Genomic DNA, 22876 nt, shown 5'->3' on the forward strand with positions numbered 1-22876 from the left:
GTTAAATGACGAGTTACTGGGTGCAGCACACCAACATGGCACATATAACTAACCTGCACGTTGTGCACATGTACCCTAAAACTTAAAGTATAATAAAAAAAGCATAAATCACATAAGACCTATAAAACAAAAATACAAGTTAAAAAGCAAAAACAAAAAACAAACAAAAATCCCAAAGTACACAGGCAACAAAAAGCAGGATGAAAACAGCAAAACAAAGGTACCACACATTTCAATGCTAACATTGAATGTAAATGGCCTAAATGCTCCACTTAAAAGACACAGAACCCCAGAATGGATAGTAACTCACCAACCAACTATTTGCTGCCCTCAGGAGACTCACCTAACACAGAAGGAGTCACATAAACTTAAAGTAAAGGGGCGGAAAAAGGCATTTCACGCAAATGGACACCAAAATTGAGCAGTGGTAGCTATTCTCAGAGAAAACAAACTTTAAAGCAACAGTGGTTAAAAGAGACAAAGAGGGACTGTGTATAATGATAAAAGGCCTTGTCCAACAGGAAAATATCACAATCCTAAACATATATGCACCTAACACTGGAGCTCCCAAATTTATAAAACAATTGGTAATAGACCTAAGAAATGAGATAGACAGCAACACAATAATAGTGGGGGACTTCAATGCTCCACTGACAGCACTAGACAGAAAGTCAACAAAGAAACAATGGATTTAAACTATATGTTGGAACAAATGGACTAAACACATGTATACAGGACATTTCATCCAACAACTGCAGAATACACATTCTATTCAACAGCACATGGAACTTTCTCCAAGATATTCCATATGATAGGCCTCAAAATGAGCCTCAATAAATTTAAGAAAATTGAAATTATATCAAGCCCTCTCTCAGGAGACAGTGGAAAAAAACCTGGAAATCAACTCCAAAAGGAACCTGCAAAACCATTCAAATAATGAAAATTAAATAACCTGCTCCTGAATATGAGCATTGGGTCAAAAATGAAATCAAGATAGAAATTAAAAAAATATTTGAACTGAATGACAGTAATGACACAACCTATCAAAACCTCTGGGATACAGCAAAGGCAGTGCTAAGAGGAAAGTTCATTACCCTGAATACCTATATTAAAAAGTCTGAAAAAGCACAAACAGACAATATAAGGTCACACTTCAAGGAACTAGAGAAACAAGAACAAACCAAACCCAAACCCAGCGGAAGAAAGGAAATAACCAAGATCAGAGCAAAACTAAATGAAATTGAAACAAAAAAATACAAAAGATAAATGAAACAAAAAGCTGGTGTCTTGAAAAGATAAATGAAATTGATACACCATTAGCAAGATTAACCATGAAAAGAAGAGAGAAAATCCAAATAACTTCACTAAGAAATGAAACAGGAGATATTACAACTGATACCACTGAAATACAAAAGATCATTCAAAACTACTATGAACAACTTTATGCACACAAACTAGAAAACCTAGAAACCTAGAAGAGATGGATAAATTCCTGGAAAAATACAGCCCTCCTAGCTTAAATCCAGAAGAATTAGATACCCCAAACAGACCAATAACAAGCAGTGAGATTGAAATGGTAATTAAAAATTACCAACAACAAAAAAAGTCCAGGATCAGATGGATTTACAGCAAAATTCTACCAGACATTCAAAGAAGAATTGGTGCCAATCCTTTTGACACTATTCCACAGGATAGAGAAAGAAGGAACCCTCCCTAATTCATTCTATGAATCCAGCATTACCCTAACACCAAAATCAGGAAAGGACATAACCAAAAAAGAAAACTACAGACAGATATCCTTGATGAACATAGATGCTAAAATTCTTAACAACATACTAGATAAATGATTCAAGCAACATATCAAGAAGATAAGCCACCATGATCAAGTGGGTTTCATACCAGGGACGCAGGGCTGGTTTAAAATATGCAAGTCAATAAATGAGATACATCACATAAACAGAATTAAAAGCAAAAATCACATGATCATCTTAGTAGCTGCAGAAAAAGCATTAGACAAAATCCAGCATTCCCTTATGATTAAAACTCTCAGCAAAATCAGCATATGAGGGACATACCTTAATGTAATAAAAGCCATCTGTGACAAACCCACAGCCAATATAATACCGAATGGGGAAAAGTTGAAAGCATTCCCTCTGAGAACGGGAACAAGACCAGGATGCCTACTCTCACCGTTCCTCTTCAACATAGTACTGGGTGTCCTAGCCAGAGCAATCAGAGATGAGAAAAAAATAAAGGACATCCAAATTGGTAAAGAGGAAGTCAAACTGTCCCTGTTTGCTGATGATATGATAGTTTACCTTGAAAACCCTAAGGACTCCTCTAGAAAGATCCTAGAACTGATAAAAGAATTCAGCAAAGTCTCCGAATACAAGATTAATGCACACAAATCAGTAGCTCTTCTCCACACCAACAGCGATGAAGCAGAGAATCAAATAAAGAACTCAATCCCTTTTACAACAGCTGCAGAAAAAAAAAACAAAAAAAACTTCAGAATATACCTAATAAAGGAGTCGAAAGACCTCTACAAGGAAAACTACAAAACACTGCTGAAAGAAATCATAGATGACACAAACAATGGAAACACATCCCATGCTCATGGATGGGTAGAATCAATATTGTGAAAATGACCATACTGCCAAAAGCAGTCTACAAATTGAACGCAATCCCCATAAGAATACCACCATCATTCCTCACAGAATTAGAAAAAACAATTCTAAAATTAATATGGAACCAAAAAAGAGCCTGCATAGATAGGCAAAGCAAGACTAAGCAAAAAGATCAAATCTGGAGGCATCAAACTACCTAATTTCAAACTATACTATAAGGCCATAGTAACCAAAACAGTGTGGTATTGGTATAAAAATAGTCATGTAGACCAATGGAACAGAATAGAGAACCCAGAAATAAACCCAAATACTTACAGCCAACAGGTCTTTGACAAAGCAAACAAAAACATAAAGTGGGGAGAAGACACCATTTTCAACAAATGGTGCTGGGATAATTGGCAACAAATGGTGCTGGAATATAGGAGAACAAAACTGGTTCCTCATCTCTTACCTTTTACAAAAATCAACTCAAGATGGATTAACGACTTAAACCTAAGACCTGAAACTGTAAAAATTCTAGAAGATAACATTGGAAAAACCCTTCTAGACATTGGCTTATGCAAAGATTTCATGAGCAAGAACCCAAAAGCAGATGCAATAAAAACAAAGATAAATAGCTGGGACCTAATTAAACTAAAGAGCTTTTGCATGGCAAAAGGAACAGTCAGCAGAGTAAACAGATAACACACTGAGTGGGAGAAAAATCTTCACAATCTATACATCTGACAAAGGACTATATCCAGAATCTACAATGAACTCAAACAAGTCAGTAAGAAAAAAATCAAACAATCCCGTAAATAAGTGGGCTAAGGACATGAATAGGCAATTCTCAAAAGAAGATATACAAATGGCCAACAAACATGACAAAATGCTCAACATCACTAATGATCAGGGAAATGCAAAACAAAACCACAATGCAATACCACCTTACTCCTGCAAGAATGGCTATAATCAAAAAATAAAAAAACAGTAGATGTTGATGTGGATGAGGTGAAGAGGGAACATTTCTACACTGCTGGTGGGAATGTAAACTAGTACAGCCACTATGGAAAACAGTGGGGCGACTCCTTAAAGAACCAAAATTAGAGCTACCATTTGATCCAGCAATCCCACTACTGGGTATCTACCCAGAGGAAAAGAAGTCATTATTTGAATAAGATACTTGCATACACATGTTTATAGCAGCACTATTCACAATTGCAAAATCATGGAACTATCCCAAATGCCCACCAACCAACAAGTGGATAAAGAAACTGTGAGATCAATTGATCTATCTATCTATCTATCTATCTATCTATCTATCTATCTATCTATCTCACAGTTATATATATATATCTCACCATATATATGTTATATAAATATCATATATGTTATATAAATATCATATATATTTATATGATATTTATGTATCATATATATTTATATTTTATATATTTATATATGTGATGGAATACTACACAGATATAAAAAGTAATGCATTAACAGCATTTTCAGTGACCTGGATGAGACTGGAGACTATTATTCTAAGTGATGTAACTCAGGAATTGAAAACCAAACATTGTATGTTCTCACTGATATGTGGGAGCTAGCCTATGAGTATGCAAAGGCATAAGAATGATACAATGGACTTTGGGGACTTGGGGGAAAGAATGGGAAGGAGTGAGGGATAAAAGACTACAAATTCGGTGCACTGTGTACTTCTCAGGTGATGAGTGCACCAAAATCCCACAAATCACAACTAAAGAACTACTCATGTAACCAAATACCATCTGTACCCCAATAACTTATGGAAAAAAGAACCCATTTTCTGGGGATGAGGCATGTATAATTTCCCCTAAAGCACAGAACTGTGCAGATGAAAGTGGACACCTGAACAAAGTAGGCATTTGCCTGGAGAAAGAATAAATCTGCTCCATGCCACTTTTACACTGATTAGATTGTTCCTGACTTATGACACACTCTTCAAAATACTTGCACATCTATTATTCCATTTGTACTAAGAGTCTAACCAAAACAAAATGAAGCTCCAATCTCATCTTTTAGAATAGATAAATGAAACTTGTATTTATTCCCCCTTCAAGACTCAGTTCTAAATTGTTTCAATCATTTATTCAACAATAATCTGCTGAACCTCTATTCTGTGGGAGGCTTTTCAGGGCAACTGAGAGGGAATAAAATTAAGATTCTTGTTCTTATTACTTTACAATCTAGTTTGGAAGACAAATAAAAAGTGATAAGTTAAATAACCACAGAAGATAGAAACAGTGGTTCTACATAACTCTGCAAAGCTGGCACAGGTGAGGTTATGATTAATGGTTAAATGACAGTAAGTACCACAGCAGTTCAGAGGAGGACAAGATACCTGCAGGCTGGAACAAGCTGAGAAAGCTTTCCAGAAGAGGAGGGATTATAGATGGATCTTGACAGATAGGATTTGCAGAGACAAACAGGAGCAAGGGAGGGCCCCAGCTGCAGCATCAGGAACTATTTGAACAAAGTCATGGAGCAGTAAAATATTTGCTTGTATCCAGGAAGTAGGGCAGACTGTTCAAATACGGTTTTTTTTTTCACCCACTCATTAGCTTAATATTTTTTGTGGCTTATTATGTCTTAGGCAACTGTTATGGGAAACAGGGATACTGTAGGAAACCAGACAGGTAAAAATTCCTGTCCTCATACAGGCTGTGTTTTAGTAGAGGAAGATAGCCACATAAATAAGGAAAATATATCTAATGTCAAATATAACTGGGAAAATAATGAAAAGGGAGAGGCAGTATGATACAGAAGGCATTGTGATTCTGGGGATATCTAGACCTGGGGGTCTGAACTGGCTTTTCTGACACATGTATGCAAAGATACAGAGCAGGGTCAGATTGGCCTCAAAGGTTTCAAGGCAGATGATGGGGGCAAGGCTGTAGAGGAGAAGATAGGGTGGGGGTCTTGCCAGGAGTATGCAGAGATCAAGGCCCCCTCTTTATTCCTGCCAATGGCGAGGGAGAGCCTAGAGAAGGCTCAGACTTACCCAGAGCTCATGAAACTTTTGAGGTTCTTCCATACTTCTGCCATGGAGAGGAAAAGTTGAAAGGGAGTGTCTTACTCTTATGCACCGTAGGAGTTATGGCTGGAAAAAGAGGTTGGAGCCAGGTTACAGAGGGCCTTCAAAATCAGAGTGAGGAGATTAGGTGTGGCCTCAGTGAACTAGAAGATGGTTCAAGTCTTGTTGGTTTGTATGTCAGTTTGTCAGCATGATAAAAGCAGTGTGTACAATGAATCAAGTATTCCTTAAGTATCTTACAATTTGTAAAATTCCTGATGTGTTATAAAACAGAAGAAAACATGAAACGGGATAGCAAAAAATTGTGGACTATTTAAAATGTGTAAATTTCATAAATGAAGGCTTTCCTTAGGTATGAACACAATGTAATATAATTGTGCTTTTCATAAGATGTTACAAGATTTATTTTAGAAAAGTTAGTTCAAAGTGCACTTTTGATAGTAGGTTCAGTCACGGGACTGTTATTTAAAGTTGTGTGACAAGTGCCTTCTTTCAATCCTGTCAGCATGTCTCTGCAGCTGTGTGTGTAACCTCATCTGAGTGTAATAACCCTCTACTTTGGGCTAACCTTCAACTCTTGCTGATTTTCCGGTTGTTCATTGTTGGCCTTTTATCATTCTCTGTCCTCTGCTGTCAGTGTCCTTTTGACTTTTTTTTTTTTTTTTGGTTAATGACTTCTGACTAACTCCATTGCTGTTGTGACCCTCATGTTTTATCTGTATCCCAGTTTCCTGGTTCTGGCTGCCTGCCTGTTTCCCTTGACCTGCTGTCATTTACAACCTGGCATGACAGATGGCCATAGGCTAATGGCAAGGGCACTCCATCAGAGCCTTGGCTGTGCCGTCACTGAAGACGCGTGACAGGCAGCAGAGGGGAAAACATGAATAGGCAGCATGATGCTTTCCACGGCTCCGGTACAGTGCCAATTCTTGGCTGGACTGTTTGTTGCCCACCTGAATGAATCACTGTAAATGAGACTTTGCGTAAACAGAATCTCCCTTTGGGTTATACTACAAATTATTTTAATTCAGTGCATGCTTAAGTACCACAGCAGTTCAGAGGAGAACAAGATACCTGAGGGCTGGAATGAGCTGAGGAAGCTTTCAGGACCAGTTGTACACAAAGCTGCGCTGGGTACTGTGAGGGATGACACAATACAAAGATGACATGACATTGTTACTGCCCTCAAGGAGCTTACAGTCCAAGGAGGGAGATGCCCATATAGGCAGCAAATTATAAGTCAAGATGGGTAAAGTCCTGTGGCAGACATCCAAATCAAGCCTCAGGAAGCACAAGGATGAAGCCATAAACTTGACCAGGTGAAGGATACATGGAAGACTGTAGGTTGTAGCTTTAGTTTTGATGGCTGTTTGTGGGCCTTGAGAACCACATTCATGGCAGTTGTCCCTGCTAATTGTTTTGAATAGTTTAGCAGTCATTTCAGCTTTAGATAGAATCACCATAATAAAGAATTTATCTACTCTGTAGATGGAATTCAAAAGTCAGTCGTAATTATAGAAGAGGAGGAAACAATGTAAAAAGGGCAAAGAAGAAATAGCTCATTACGGTAAAACTGATATATATTAATCAATGAATGTTAATGTTGAAGGTCAAACAGTATGTAGACTATTTTAATCATTCCATTGTCAGGGACCCACTGGGCCAACTTCAATAAGCCATTTGTCATTTAACCATTTTAGGCTATAAGTTTTTCACTTGAAAACAAAAATGTCTGTTCTTTACTCATTATATGTGGCCAAGATTGATCAGAAAAACTCTTGAAAGTATTTTGAAGTTATGGAAAAAGACTTTTCGGAAGTACACTATATGAATTACTTAAATGCTCCAACTGATATTCCTAGAGCTTATTTTTAAATAACTGTATTATCAAAACAATCCACCTTATCTTTTTGATAAAAACAACGACAACAACCTAATGACAATTTTAACCCCACAGAAAATGTACAGGAAGATTTTCTTTGTAAAATGTAGTTAATAGCAGCTGGTTCACATTTTTCCTACCAATGTTTGCTCTGAGAAATGCTGTACATATATGAATTCATGTAGCTGGACATATGCATGTATATAAGCATCACCTGCTAGCCTGTTGTGCCACTGGAACTCCCATATACATGTATATAGAAAAATCATATCATCCTGTTTCATGTTTTGAGTCTCAATATGGACCCCAGTGTATAGAATGAGGTCTGCAGGAAATATAACTTTATTTTTCTAAAACCATAATTTCTATTTCAAGTGGGGTTAATTTATACTTATAAATACAAGCGTTCCTCCCATATCCCTCAGACTGATGACTGAGATGTAGGGGTCTCCACTCTGTCAAGATGTTGGAAAGTAGCTTGTCTAGTTCCAAATGCTATCTGTCCTTTCATAGAGACATCAGAAAAGATATCTTTTATTTGTGTTTTGAATGATCCTAAGATAAAAACCAATTACCATCTTAAAATATCCCAAGGCATTAAATAATGTATTATTTTACTGCAGTTCATTCTTTTAGGTATCTCGTTAAGTATTCACCCAACTGTTCTGTAGGTATGTAATATCTCTATGAAAAAAGAATGAAACTGCGGTAAATATAATCTGAGTTTCAGTTATTTTTAGATATACCTGATGGAGCCATCTTAAATCCTTTATGCAAACAGATATAGATATAAATAAATAAATAAATCATATGACTGATGAATTTGTAAATTACATTATTTATAATTTTATTTCCTCCAGGAGAATTTTAGGAAGCTAACAGAAATTAATACAGTAATATATCATTAAAAAATTCATAAGTAAGTTTATGGAAAATTGCCAGAACTGGGTTGCCAATTTGCTTCTGAGATTTTTAGTAGTCAAAGCAAAGAGGAGATCACGTTCTACTGAGGGATTCATGTGTCAACACAGTACTGTTCAGAGGTAGCACAATTTCCCCACCATTGGGGCCTCACAGAGAGGTCTCTGGCACTTCTTCATATATGGGACCTTAAGATTTTTATGGGCAATATCCTTAGTGGAATTTCTAAAAATTATCTAATACTATCAAGTGCAGTTCATGAAAGGTGATTTTCTAAGGGGCCAAAGCCATGTTTTTCAAGTCCTGAGTTCTTTGCTGGTGTGGCTTGAACCAGGAATGGTTTTTTTAAGACATCCAGAGGAGTAGAAGTCAAGTCAGCATTCAGTTGAACTGAACACTTCGATTTTGATTGAATGGAGGTCAGGGGTGTCCATCCAACAAGAACACATCCCAGCATAATGTTGGTATTTAGGAGCTCCTGTACCACTAATTGGAATCTAGTTGCTGACACACTTAGTTTAGAGTAAAAAACATTACATTATGACCTTAGAGTTGAGAGCAAAGCAGTCTTGGAGCCCAGGACAAGTAGAATGAAAAGCAAATTTGTCACCTATGTAATTTATTATGTCGCTTTCAGTTAGTGCTATTATCAGAGGGTACCATCTGGTCACTGTCTATTTTTACTGGTTATTTTTGCAGCTAAGTGCTGAGCTCACTTGTTTCTGTGTTGCTGAAAGGGGACATATACTGTAAACAAGTAAATGCCACATATTTTAAAAGGAACAAATTTAAATATATATGTAATATATATAAAATTATTACTTGATTCTAAATTCTAAATTGTGATGGCCCAAGACAAATGCCTAGGTACTCTAGTCCACTGTAGTCACATCCCAAAGTAAGCGCCTCAGAGCTTTGTGAATGTCTCCTGTTTCAGATCTGATCTCTTGTATCCTAGCCACACTCGTATCTCAGAAACCTGAGAATCAAAGTCCTTGCTGGTATATTGATTTTTATGAATTGCAAAGGTTTATTTACTGTTTGGCTCTGTATCACTTTGCAAGTTTCCTGGAAGCACAAAGTATTTATTTGACTTAGACATATATTTTTAAATTTTAACTTTCAAATATTTTAAAGTTTTTTTTTGGTAAATACAAAAAGTGTAGAGAATTATTCTTTACCATATATCCACCAATCAGCATTAACAAAGGGTGACTTTCTGTCATATTTTCTTCCATCTTTTTGTTGGGAGAAGAAGAGTTGAATTATAATTTACGTACAATAAGATATATAAATCTTAAGTGTGTGGTGTGAGGGATTTTGACAATTGTATGAACCCATTTAACAACCACCCAAACTAAAATATATGACAGTCTCATTAGTCCAAAAAGTTTCTTCATTCCACTTTTCAGTCTATTCCCTGCCCCTCCAGGGGCAACCACTTCTTGACTTTTCTGTCATAACAGATTATATTTTTCTGTTTTGGGACTTCATAATAAGGGAAATCATCCAAAGGATATTCTTTTGTGTCCATGTTCTTTCAGTTAGCATAATATTTTTGAGATCTACTCATGTTGGTGCATATTATAATTTACTTATTTTCATTGCTAATTAGTATTTCATTGCATTTGTCCATTTTCCTTGTTGATGTGTGACATTTAGTTTGTTTCTAGTTAAGGCTACTGTGAAGATTCTTGTACAAATAAGTCTTTTTGTGGAACTATGTTTTCGTGTTTTTTTTTGGGTGGGATGGTGATGGTGGTATAAATACTTAGGAGTGGGATTGCTGGGTCAGAGGGTAGGTGTATGTTTAACTTTATAGGAAAATGCCAAACTATTTTTTAAAGTGGCTATGGCATTTTACAGTTTCACCAGTAATATGTGGGAGTCCTAGTTGATTCACATCCTCCTCAACATTTGGTATTGTCAGTCTTTTCAATTTTAGCCATTCTAGCATTTTTAATTTGCATTTTTCTGATGACTAAAGATGTTGAGTGCCTTTTCATGTACTTATTGGACATTCGTATGTCTTCTCTTTCTAAGTGACTGTTCAAGTGTTTTTTATTGCTGTTTTTCATTTCATTGTCTTTTTATTACTAAGTTGTAGGAGTTTTTTATATTCTGGAAACAAGTCCTTTGTCAAACATACATATTGCAAATATTTTTCCCCAGTCAGGTACTTGACATTTTCATTTTTGTCTATACCAATTTGTAAAGATGTTCTCCAATTTTTTTTTTCAAAAAAGAAACTTTAAAGTTTTAGCTTTTTTCAGCTTGAATTAATTTTCTCTATGGTTTCAGGGTTCTCATTTTCTTCTCTCATCTGGATGACTAGTGATCACAGAACCATTCATTGAGAAGATTTTCTTTTCCTGTTCAAATATTTTCTTTGACGTCTTCATTGAAAAATCAATAGATTGGTTTAGTGTGGTCTATTTCTGAATTCTCTATTCTGCTATATTGACCTATTTGTCTGTCCTTATGCCAATACAATTCTATCTTGATTACTGTAGCTTTTCTTTAAGTCTTGAGGTTAGGTGGTCTAAGTCCTACACCTTGTTTTTTAAAGACTGATTTGGTTATCAAGGATTATTGTATTTCTAAGTAAATTTTAGAACTGGCTTATAATATTCTATAATATAAGACAGCTTCTTGGGATTATAATTAAAATCGAATCAACAAATTAATTTTGAAAAAATTGACACTTTAATAATATTGATTCTTCCAACCTACTATCATAGTATATCTCTTTATTTAGATCTTTGAAATATTTTCTCAATTTTTAAAATCAGTGTAGATGTTATGTTTTTGATGCTATAATAAATGGAATTATTGTTTAAATTTTACATCTAATTGTTTGGTGCCAATGTACAGAAATACAACTGAATTTTTCATATTGACCTTGTATTTTATGATACTGCTAAATTCACTTAGTAGTTTCAGTAGTAGCTTTGTAGATTTCTTAGGATTTACTTTATTACAATTATTTCATCTGAAATTAAAGATAATTTTATAAAATCCCTTTCAATCTTTTTCTGTCTTTTGTTTCTTTTATTTTGTTTACTGTAAAAATGGTAACATTCCATTATATTTGCTTCAGGTAATTTTTCTTTTTCATGGATTGTATCATATTACCTTATCCATGTTATTCTTGTAGCTCTAAAACTCTCTTAAGATGTCCATATTTCCATTTCTGCTTGTAGATTAGTCATATTTGCATTGATAATCCATAGCATTTTAAAGTATTCATGTTAGGGAGGCTCAATGCAGAGCATTTTCATCTATGATTAATAAGAGAAAATTAAAATACACATTTTTGGGGAGGGCTATCCTTTACAGTCAGGAAATAGCAAAATTCTAAGTGGATAGTAAATTCCAAGGCAGGGAATTTAGTGCAAAATTACCTGAATAAGTGAATTGCAAATAAATCCAGAAGTGACTATTTACTACTCAGAAGTGCCAGACTCTTTCTAAGGGCATCTTGACATTGCCTAATTGTGGAGATGTAAAAGTCCTATAAATTGCAAGTCATTGATATAACAGTTTTATTTCGTTCATTTAAAATGATAAATTGATAGAAAAAATTTGTTCATGGCAGCAGATGCTCCCTCATATTACAGCAATTATAAAGAAGACCTCTTCATTCCCCCTACAAGTTACAAAATGGATCATTGCATACAAGTTCTAATCATAATTTTACCTTAAAAACTTACAATTGATTTAATTAATCAATTCATATGTGAAGTACTATTTTCTCTAAATTAACTGAGATTTCTCCTAGAAACAATAAGACCATCAAATGATAAATTGAAATTGCTTTACCAATATATAGTTCATGAAATAAATGGAAATCTATTTCATAAGAAGAAAATACTGATAAAATGCTGAAATCTTATCAGATTATTACTTTTCTGAATCTATGTGCTTATCCATCCACTTGCTTATCTATGATAGTTCATATTTGAAATAAAATTTATGTTATATAAATACACCAAGACTCAACCTTTAAATACAATTAATTTTAGTTCTTAAAAATTAATGGGTGACAATGAAAAATTTGTGCAAGGGAAAAATGCATTCTGTATGTTAAAATCTAGTATTTATTTTCAATTAATTGATGGTCCTAAATATGTGAGGATCTGTAGCACTGGATATGCAACACATAACCTTTAGGGCAAAGGTTTTTGTCATGGATGTCACATGAGACTCATCTGTGGTGCTTCTAAATATCTTGATGTCTAAGTGACACTTCCTTCTTCCCTGTGAGATTCATGTCATTTGTCCATATCAAGTTTTCTCCATCCTGGTCACTGGCACCGCTGTATTAGTGTGCTATTGCTACATAACAGATCACCACAAAGTGAGTGGCTTAAAGCAACAATCACTTATTAGCTCACAGATTTGTAGGTCACAGTCCAGGTAGGCTTGATTAGCTTCCCTGCTCAGGGTCTCACAAGGCCAGAATGAAAGTGTGGCTGGGCTGGGCTTTTTCCTGGAGGATTGATGATGGGGGTTGGGGAGGATAACCTTCCAATCTGATTTTGTAATTAGCAGAATTTAATTCTCTGCTTGTAGGACTGAGATCCCCATCTTCTTGCTGGCTGTTGAAAGTGAGTTGACCTCATCTTCTACAGTCTGTACTCAGGTCCTTCCCATGTGCCTGCCTCCTTCTTTGAGCTAGCATTGGAGAGCTTCTCATGTACCAAAACCTCCCTGTGCTTCTACTCTCTGACTTCCTCTTTGCAACCAGCTGGACAAGAGTTTCAGTTTTGAAACGGTTCATGTCATTAGGTTTGACCCATTTAGATAATCTCCCTGTTTGTAGGTCAACCGATTAGTAAGCTTAAATACATCTATAATTGCATTATGCTAGGTAGTGCAACCTAATCACAGGAATAATACCGTCTTTGAGGTATGAGGACCATCTTTGAATTCTGCCTACCTTGCCCACCAACCTCCAGGCCATGTCCCCATATCAGCTAACCACTTGAGCATCAGCCTCCAAATTCCTTCACTTTGCTTAAATGATATTAATCTCTAGACCTTGTTATCATCATTGAGAAATACTGTATATCTGAAGTCTGAAAACTTGTTTTCTACTCTTGGAGAATTGTCTCCTAATTTTTAAATTATAATCCATATTGATTTTATCATGAGGTGTAGCATAAAGGAAAGGCAGAAAGTTAGCAATGGGTGCAGCCAGTGATATGGGGATTGACTTTGAATTCCAGGAGGTTTGGATGGTTTAGTTCCGCAGAGAAGTAGCAGGTCATTCGCTGTGTTCAAGAGACAAGGCTTAGTGTTGATACCTAAGAGTTCGCTTGCATGGCTAGCGCACAAAAGCTGGAGTTTTTGGCTTCAGTGATGCTGAAATAAGTCGAGTGGTCATGTTTTGGGACTGAAGGTCACTCCGGATTGAAGCTGGATCCCAACCCAGCAGGTGACAGCTTAGCGACTAAGTTCCATGTTGGGTGTGAAGGCTGTCCGGGATTAGGTGTATTGTTAGCATTGCAGGCAATTGTTTAGCATTATGGCAGGTCTCCACTCTCACTTTGGAGCTTCTGAGGAATCAGGAATTGGGGTATAGAACTGGGCAGCCACTGGAGGAGTTGGGGGAAGACTGTGGCTAAGGTGAATATGGAGGCTGGGCTTCAGACAGCAAGATTATTTTAGATCCCATGTGCTGGAAGGACAAAGTCTCTAATAATCTTCTGGGCTTGTAGTCTAGACCCAGTGACTACATCAGGCTAAGTGTGCTATCTAAACATCTAATTCCTCTAGCTGGATGGGGCTAGGAAGGGCAAGACCAACACCCTCTGGCTTTCTAGTCTCGCTGAACTTCTCTCTCCACAGCCTCCTGCTTGGTCCTTTCCCCATGTGGGAATTGAGAAAAGGGTCTCCTCTTCTAGTTCATCCCACAGGGACTCAGTGGGGTGTGAGGTCCTGGATGCCTTTATCCCCTGGTCACACTGCAGATGGTAAGCAAGTGGATGGATACCAAGTCAGGTCCTGGGGTGGGAAGTGCTGAAGTCAAAACACAGAAAGTGGATCCAAACCTAGGAGCCTATCAAGAGGGGTCAGCTGAGCAATGGTAGCCAGGGCACAGGGTGAAAGGAAGGGGTTAAAGAACCAGGAGAGTTAGGGCAGCAGAGAATGGGAGGCAGACTTGATGAAATGCAGGCCCCTAGGCCAATTAATTAATTAATTAATTCATTTCTCTCTCTTTCTCTGTCTCCTTCTTTTTAAATATTGTCAGTGCATTTTAATATGAGTCAGCCAGAGTAGGTAGACACATCTATATGCATCTTTTACATCATTATATTCTCCAGTGCTTAGGACAACTTTTTTGAATACTTAATGATAATTTAAATTTACAAAAGCGTAATAAGAGAGATAAAAAAGATTTTGTTCACAATCAGGGCAGAAATATCATCCTAGGCTTGTATAATAATAGGATTTTAGCACTATCTTCCTCAAAAATGATTGGCAGCTAACAGTAGGCCCAAAGTATAGTTACTATGGGTGTTACTTGCATTTCGTTTTGTGAACTTATAGTTGAGTTAAGCATTGTAAATGTACATGGTTTATTCCATTGCAAGGGGGAAATTCCTTTCAGCCCGTCCTGTTCCTGTTCTTATAGAGCTCTTGCAAGTAAAAGCTTGTCAAGTATTGTTACAGAGAAGTGCTTTAACAGAGTGTGCCCAGTTGATTGTTTCAGTGGCTCTGCTGATGTCCAGATCAGTAAACCCTCTTCCCTTTGGGGTCTGACTCTGGAGGTGCCCATGAAGTAAGAGTCACAAGACTACTGTATACCCTTTACAGCAAAACCAGATAAGGTCATGTCATGGTAATGTCATGCCACACCCCACAGGGCACCCAGTGTTCCAGAAATGCTATTAGAGAGTTTGAAGAGCTGCTCAGGTTGGGGTGGTCAATTTATGTTTTCAGAGGGCTTTGCTGTTTTTTTTCTGAGCAAGAATGTGGAAAGCTGGCAGCACCAGTGGCCTGCTGTGGCCTGAAGTTTGCTGGTAGTGTTTGCTTCACCTTTCTCACCTGGCCCAAAGTGAGAGCACAGGCCTCATTCCTACCTGGCTCTCAGCAGCACTATTGGAAACAGCTGTGTATCATCAATTCCCTAATAATTCCTGAGAGACTGATGCATTTCTGTAAGAAGCCTGATTTACATGGTGTGACTACAAATTAAAAAGATGGATTTTATTCTGGCTTGTTGAAATTATATTTTACAGACAATGTTTGAAACAACACTTATCAAATGCTCTGTGGTCTACTTACTCCCAGATATTAATCTCTGCCTGCAGTGCTGCGAGGCGCTTTTCCTCATGAAAAATTCCATTCTTGTGAATTTAGTCTATTCATGTGGAGTCAACCTTATAGGACTATTATTGCCTTCTCTTTTTTGAGAGAATAGAATAAAAAAAGAAAAGGCATTGGCAACTCATTGTGTGGCCCGGTTCATAGAAAGGGAGACAAATGATCTTTTCTTATTTTTTAAAGATATACAAAGCTCTACTAAAATAGAACTTCGTATTACAGGTTGCAGTTATTAGGAGGTAATAGGGTTTCTACCTTCTCATGATAAAGGCTTCCTATGTTAACACCACCTACTGTATAATGTCTTGGCATGATATGCAGAATTTTCTTTGTTATGTAGTTAGTGAATGGCAGCTTTTCCCTCATGCATTCCAATTTTCAGGCTAAGATAACTGTGAGTTCTAAGAATGTAAGCTTGCATTCTCCTTAGGAACAGTGAGCAAGGCAGTAAAAGAGATACTATTTTTAGATTTCTTGTTGATCTCTTGTTTTATTATATGCCACATGTACATTATTCGGAAAACTTTCCTAAAACATGAACATGAATAAATAATTTAATCCTTTACCATCAACCTAATATTTCTAGAAAAATGCGTGGAGGAAGAAAGGAGGCATAAGGTTCTATGGCCTTCATTCTCAATCTTCCTGGCCCCACACTCCCGACATCTATAAACTTACAACTTCGCCTAGACCCTGTTCCCGATGACTCAGAAAGACAGGGTCAATGGATGTGACCAAGGAGACAAACTTTTTGAGATTCCCAAAGCTTCCTGTACTGGGGAACGGGAGTGAGTGCTGAGGAAAGAAAATTTGTCTCTAACACAGGGATTGATTTGAATTATGGCTGTGGGACATAGGGATTTGTTCTTACTAATTAGTTGATAATGGTGACTTAAAATTTGCGTAGGGCAAAATTCTTTCTTTTGGCAATCTCATTCTTATGAAGGAAAAGTTTTCCTCCCACCTCCTATGCAAATTCTTCCTTTCTTCCCTTGAATTGTAATCTTTCTATATTAGCTATTTAGAAAATGTTTATTTGGAAAATGTTTATTGACTATTAGGACCTAGGAGTAGTGGCAAATTGTTTCCAACCAAATTGCTCCAAATCTTCATTTTGATTTGAGATCAGAGGGACAATCGAGGAGTTATTGGATTTCCATAACATCCTTAACAATTTCAGAGTTTTTTTTTTTTTTTTTTTGAGATGGAGTCTCACTCTATTGCCCAGGCTGAAGTACAGTGGCACAATCTCGGTTCACTGCAAACTTCGATTCCAGGGTTCAAGCGATTCTCCTGCCTCAGCCTCCTGAGTAGCTGGGATTACAGGAGTGCACCACCACGCCCGGCTAATATTTGTATTTTTAGTAGAGACAGGGTTTCATCATGTTGGTCAGGCTGGTCTCGAACTCCTGACCTCGTGATCCACCTATCTCAGCCACCCAAAGTGCTGGGATTACAGGTGTGAGCCACTGTGCCCGGCCTTGAGAGTTTTAAGTAGTGAAAAGATTTTTAGTTTTAAAAATTTTCAGATTCATGTTGCAAATTAGGATGGACTTAGGGAAATATTGGTGTGTTGGAAAAGTATAAAATATAGTTCTGAATGTCTTTAGTGTAGGACAGTAGAACAGTAGATCAATAAGATTCAGAAATAATAGAATAATAAACCCATTTTTACTTTTAAAATATGGGAGACATTTCACTCTGCTTGTTATATAGAATAGATTGGAGGAGAAAACATTGAGAATATCATGAAGTTTTGTGTTTTTGACTTAGGATTCTGTTTAGAATGCTGATTGTCATTCACATTTTATGCATGTAAAACAATAAGAGTTTTATAAAACTACAAAGTTTATGAGAGGATTAGGCAGGTTTTACTTTTATAGTCATAATGTGTTCAAATGCATTTGCATCAAATGGTAGATATAATTTCTCTTTGTAATTGAAGTTTAAATTCCAGCATAAATATAGTGCTTAGAAAACTATTTTATGAGCCTTTCTTTTATAAGGATCCTGCATGAAAAGAAGGTTACACAGCTGGAGATTGTTTAGAGACAATTAAGACTTACTGGCTTTTCAGCTGGTGAGAAAAAGCAGGACTCTGAGACTCTTGCCATCTTGAAATTGTTACTCAGGTGAGTTTCCTTTACAACACCAAGCTCTTTAGTATTTTTTAAAAATTATTTAGCATCAGAAACTTAAGAGATGATCCATTGGAATTTAAGTTCATTATGAATGCAAAGTGCACATTTGACTTTAACATGATTCATCTGGGTGAATCTGAGACCCTAGCCATTTTTTCAAGACTATTGCTCACCTCTTTTCCTAAGGCAAATATTCAAGTATGCTGCTGGTTTTTAGCACTCTCTGCTTCCTATCTCTCATCCTCTGAAGTGGTACCCCACTCCCTTTAGATTTGAACATCTACCTCCTTCCCTTCTCTCCTCCAGCCTAGGAAAAAGGATGCCCGATCCAAATACCCTAATAAGGAAATAATTTTGTTTGATAGCCAAAATACCTCTGATAGGGGCAAGGGTTTTACGGATGACTCTTACAAGTGAGGAGCTTTCAGAATCTGTTGGTAAAGTATGTTTCATTGAAGGGATATTTCCGGTGGCTCACAAATCAGATCTATATTTTCACAAAACCCCAGAGAATAAGATGTTTTATAGTTATACACTTTAATTTGGCTGTTGGCTTGATCCACTGCTAGAGAAACCCAAAAGTGACCCCAACACTCAGGTGCAAATAGATTACCTGAAGAAATCTATGTTTTAAGTGCTTTTATTAATGTGTCTACTAAGAAATTTGACTTGTCTTATTCTTATTAGTGTGAATATGGATATTATACAGGTAAGGATGAATCTATGTTACAGAAGTTTGATTTCCCACTTGAGATTTTTTCCCCTTATTAAATTTCTCTAAATTTTAAGGTGACAGAATGTATTTCTTGACACGTAGTTCAAGGCAGGCTGAATACTAAGTTAATTAATTTGTCTTATTTTACCAGTTCTATGTGTCTATTAACTTAGTGTGGGGGGCATATATTGAACTTGTCTTTGATTTCCTGTTTCATGCAGGGATGAGAGATGGTGTCACAAATGCTTCCATCTCTACTTTGCTTCTGCTTGACATGGTTTTGTTCTCTTTGACAGACATTCAGTGGCAAAAAGTAGCATAATTATTAATTTCCCACTTGACATTGTGAACATTTCAATGCTAAGTTAGCAGGTAAAAATGTCACAATCTATTTCTCTTATATCTACTCATGAACTTCAAAGGGTTCTTAGCAATTGTTCTTGAGTCAGAAGGAAGACTACTGTGACATGCAGATACCAAGTAAAATTAACTTTGTTAACAGTACTTGACCTTTCTCTAAAATACTCAATTTTCTCAGATACTTTCTTTCATGATGATAGTTAGAAAAAAATTAAAATTCATTGTCTTATATTGCATGTGTTAACTGGAAAGAAATTACTTTAGCAACAGATGCACATCGGTCCGTCACATATTGAGAAAACTCTACTCCCTGGGGCTACAATAACTAAGCTGTAGAGGTACAAAGAAATACCAATCTGTTTTGCTGAAGTGATATATAGTGAGAGACAATTACTTCTTACAAATGCACTGCTGATTAATTGGCCTTAGAGAGTTACGTCTCAGTCATATTAACTTCAGTGTTACTGCAGTGAAGAGCATTGGCACACAGGTATGGAGAGGGAACCTAGTTTTCAGATTATCATGACCTTACAGCTCAGCCTAATAGAAATATAATGCTTACTGGATTCAAAAGGACTTTTAGTAGCCACATGAAAATTAGACACGGGGAATACATTTTTATAATGTATTTTATTGGACTCAGTATATCCAAAATATTATCATTTTGACATTTGGCATTAGTCACTTTTCCAGTGCTCAGTAGCTGCCTGTGGCTAGTCATTATTCTATTGGCCAGCATAGCTCTCAGGATCTTCGAGCTATTTGAGTTGCCAAATGCAAAGCCTATTCTCTAACCCAAATCTTGTGTTCATGTGGAACATATTGAAATATTATTTAGGCATTGTAAATATCGTATTTTGCCTTTCATTGGTAGTTCTAGCTCTCTCTCTCTCTCTCTTTTTCATTAGCTGTGATCCGGATAGAAAGAAAGAGGTTTATCTGAATGCGATTGGTGTGGTGGAGACAATCCTGGGACAAGTGTTCAGACTACTGTAGTTTGTCAGGGTCATTTACTAGTGACAGGGACTATTTGAGCTAACCTCACTGCGTGTAATTTCCTTATCTAGAAAATAGAAATACTGTAATAAACTCCATCTAGTGTAGTACCATGTGTAAGTAGGCATATAAAAGTACTTAAAAAATAACTGTGAAGAGCTGATTAGTACAAGGTACTTTTTGGGCTAAAATTGTTTAAGACATGTTAAAATAGTTGGAGTAATTCTTTGGGGGAACCTTGACTGGAGGCTTTATGCTTGATCCTAAAGAATTCTTTCATATGAGGCTACTTTCTTCCTCTGGTTTCTGTGTCAATCTCTCCTTTAAACTTCTGGGTCAATTTTCATTCTTCTTCAAAACATCAATTTTAATTTTTTAAAAATTCACTGTCTGCTTGGTATAGGTATTGGGCTGAGTGCTTTGTATACATCATCTCATTTAATCCTTATGACAACTCTACAGGTTTTGCTTAATTGTATGGATGAAGATGAAGCACAGAGAGATTAAGTAACTTGCCCAACATCCCATAGATTATAAGCTGCCATTTAAGCCAGGTCATCTGAATCCAGAGACTGTGTCCTTGAGCTCTAGACTGACTACTGCCCATCTTAATTGCTGGTGTGCTGTGCTGCTGAACTACAGCAGGCAGGACAGGACAATATTAAATTGATAATAATAAACTTTTGAGTGAAATTTTGTTTTACCATACTATAGTGGTTTTTCAACGCGGGTGGGGGGGGAGCATAAATAACTGTAAATGACCAAAATATCATAAAAATGACTGGAGATTTCTATAAGTTTAGTGAAGACAATCCTACGGAGAGAAAAAAGAGAATTCTCTGTGTCATTGAAACATTTAAAAGGAGAGAAATTTTCTAAGTTTTCTTTAGAGACTGGTCAAGTTACAGTCAAATTTCAGTTTTTAGAGATATGGTGAAACTGAAATTTTGATTCTTGATATTTTCATGAAAAAATGTATTTGGAGAAAGACTATGAATGTGGATAACAGATGTGAGTTTAAGATAGAGTGGTGACAAAAAGTACAAAACTTCATTCTCTATTTTTGTCTGTATGGTGTCTCTAAAATGAGAAGTAAACAAATTAACAATAATTTATTGCACACACAATCTTTTTAGGGCATGGTTGGGTATAAAAATATGACAGCAATATTGTAGGTACTTGCTATCTTATTGGAGAGCTAAAGCACACCACATGGAAAGCCAGGCAATGCAAAAAGGAATAAAAGATGTGGGATGTGATTACTGGCTAACAGAAGGGTCAGGCGATACTTCCTACTGTGGTCAGGATAAGGTGAGAGCATTGAACTGGGAGTGCAATGGTAGAGCCTCTAGTGAGAGCTGGGACAGATAAGGGCCAGAGAGATGGTATAGGGTTTGGAAAGTCAACAAAGATGAGAGAGTAGATCAGATACTTAAGAAGGTATGTGATTGACTTAAAAAAATTTCCTGGTGGTAAAATACACAGGACATAAAATTTATCACCTTAACTGTTGTTGATCGTAGAGTTCAGTGGTATTAAATACATTCATAATGGTGGGCAACCATCAGCACAGCTCATTTCAGTTGGTAAAAATGAAGCTCTATACCCATTAAATAGTAAGATACAGTATTGTCCTTTTGTGATTGGCTTATTTCACTTAACATAATGTCCTCAAGTTTCATCTTGTGTTGTAGTATTACAAATGACTTATATGTCATGATTACAATATGGCAAGAAGGTGGGAGGAGACATAATTTATCTGTGTGTTCATGTAAACTTTCATAACAAAAATGACTCTCAAATGGCTCCAAAATGCAGGAGAGTGAGACCATTTGCCAGATGACTGACCTCATTGAGATGAAGCTTTGATCTATCAGGATTGAATAATTTATCCTTAAGAAAATATATGTTTTAGTTACATGGAAGTGAAACTTAATTATAAACAGGATGAAGCTAGATGATCAGGAGGAAGGTCAAAAAACATCTCTGCTTGGTAAACTAGACCCTCCATAGGGTTGTGGAGTTCTTCAAGGCCGTGCTGGGACATGATAAAGTCACCTACCTTACCAGTCTTCCAAACCCTCACTGCTACAAAGATTACACTTCCTGAGATCATGTGATCTCCGTTGCTGTCTTCACCTGGCACTCTTCCAATCACTGTTTTCTGGTTCGTTCCCATTGATATGTTGGTTTTAGGTGCATGTACTTGTCACAAATTGAAGGCTCAATAATATAAAAGAAATGATTGCTATTGCAGATTGTAGAGAGGTAAACTTTATTTCACAAACCCAAAGGGATAATTTACTTTTCATCTCATCCCTGTCTTTCAAAATAGAGAACCTCCAGCAAATGGTATATAAAGGAAAACAGAGCAAACAAAATAGAGAAACTTTGCAATTTATTAACTCAAGCATGAAAGCACAGAAAATAAGCAGGGCTCAACTTAGTTGGAAAAATAAGTCTGAACTTATTGCATTAAAACATGGTGTTGCACTAATCTAATGAGTTTTAGGGCAAATGAGGCATGAAACATTGCCAAAATATAAAGTCAGTAAAATATCCAAATTACTCTTTAATGTCATTATGTGTTTTATTTTACTGGGAACTGGTAAAGAATAGATTATTCCTAAATATGCGTTACTAGCAAAGTAAGTAGAATTATTTTATAAAGAATTTATTATTCTGATAAATTGTCAATAGTGACAAGTCAAAAGCAACTGAAACTCCAACAAAAGATACACATGTGCCTAATTTAGAAGAAGGCATTAATGTAAGAACCTGCTTTTACTTCATTCATTCATATCCTAGGAATTCAAAATAATGCTAAAAGAGATAAAACATGGTAGT

The 22876-nt window shown here is 36.4% G+C and overlaps 2 long non-coding RNA genes across 2 annotated transcripts in view; both read right to left on the minus strand.

Moving 5' to 3' along the window:
• Window positions 1-2212, minus strand: part of LOC285762 (uncharacterized) — a 38756-nt gene extending 36544 nt beyond the window's left edge. The window contains exon 1 of the long non-coding RNA NR_046100.1: window positions 2076-2212. This is a non-coding gene — a long non-coding RNA (uncharacterized LOC285762). The remainder of the gene's footprint in view (window positions 1-2075) is intronic.
• Window positions 1-16133, minus strand: part of LOC107986525 (uncharacterized) — a 28005-nt gene extending 11872 nt beyond the window's left edge. The window contains exons 1-2 of the long non-coding RNA XR_001743825.2: window positions 16073-16133; window positions 5650-5748 (exon numbers count right to left, since the gene is read on the minus strand). This is a non-coding gene — a long non-coding RNA (uncharacterized LOC107986525). The remainder of the gene's footprint in view (window positions 1-5649; window positions 5749-16072) is intronic.
• Window positions 16134-22876: the final 6743 nt, after the last annotated feature.

The sequence above is a fragment of the Homo sapiens genome, chromosome 6 (assembly GCF_000001405.40).
Source record: "Homo sapiens chromosome 6, GRCh38.p14 Primary Assembly".
Lineage (NCBI taxonomy): Eukaryota > Metazoa > Chordata > Mammalia > Primates > Hominidae > Homo > Homo sapiens.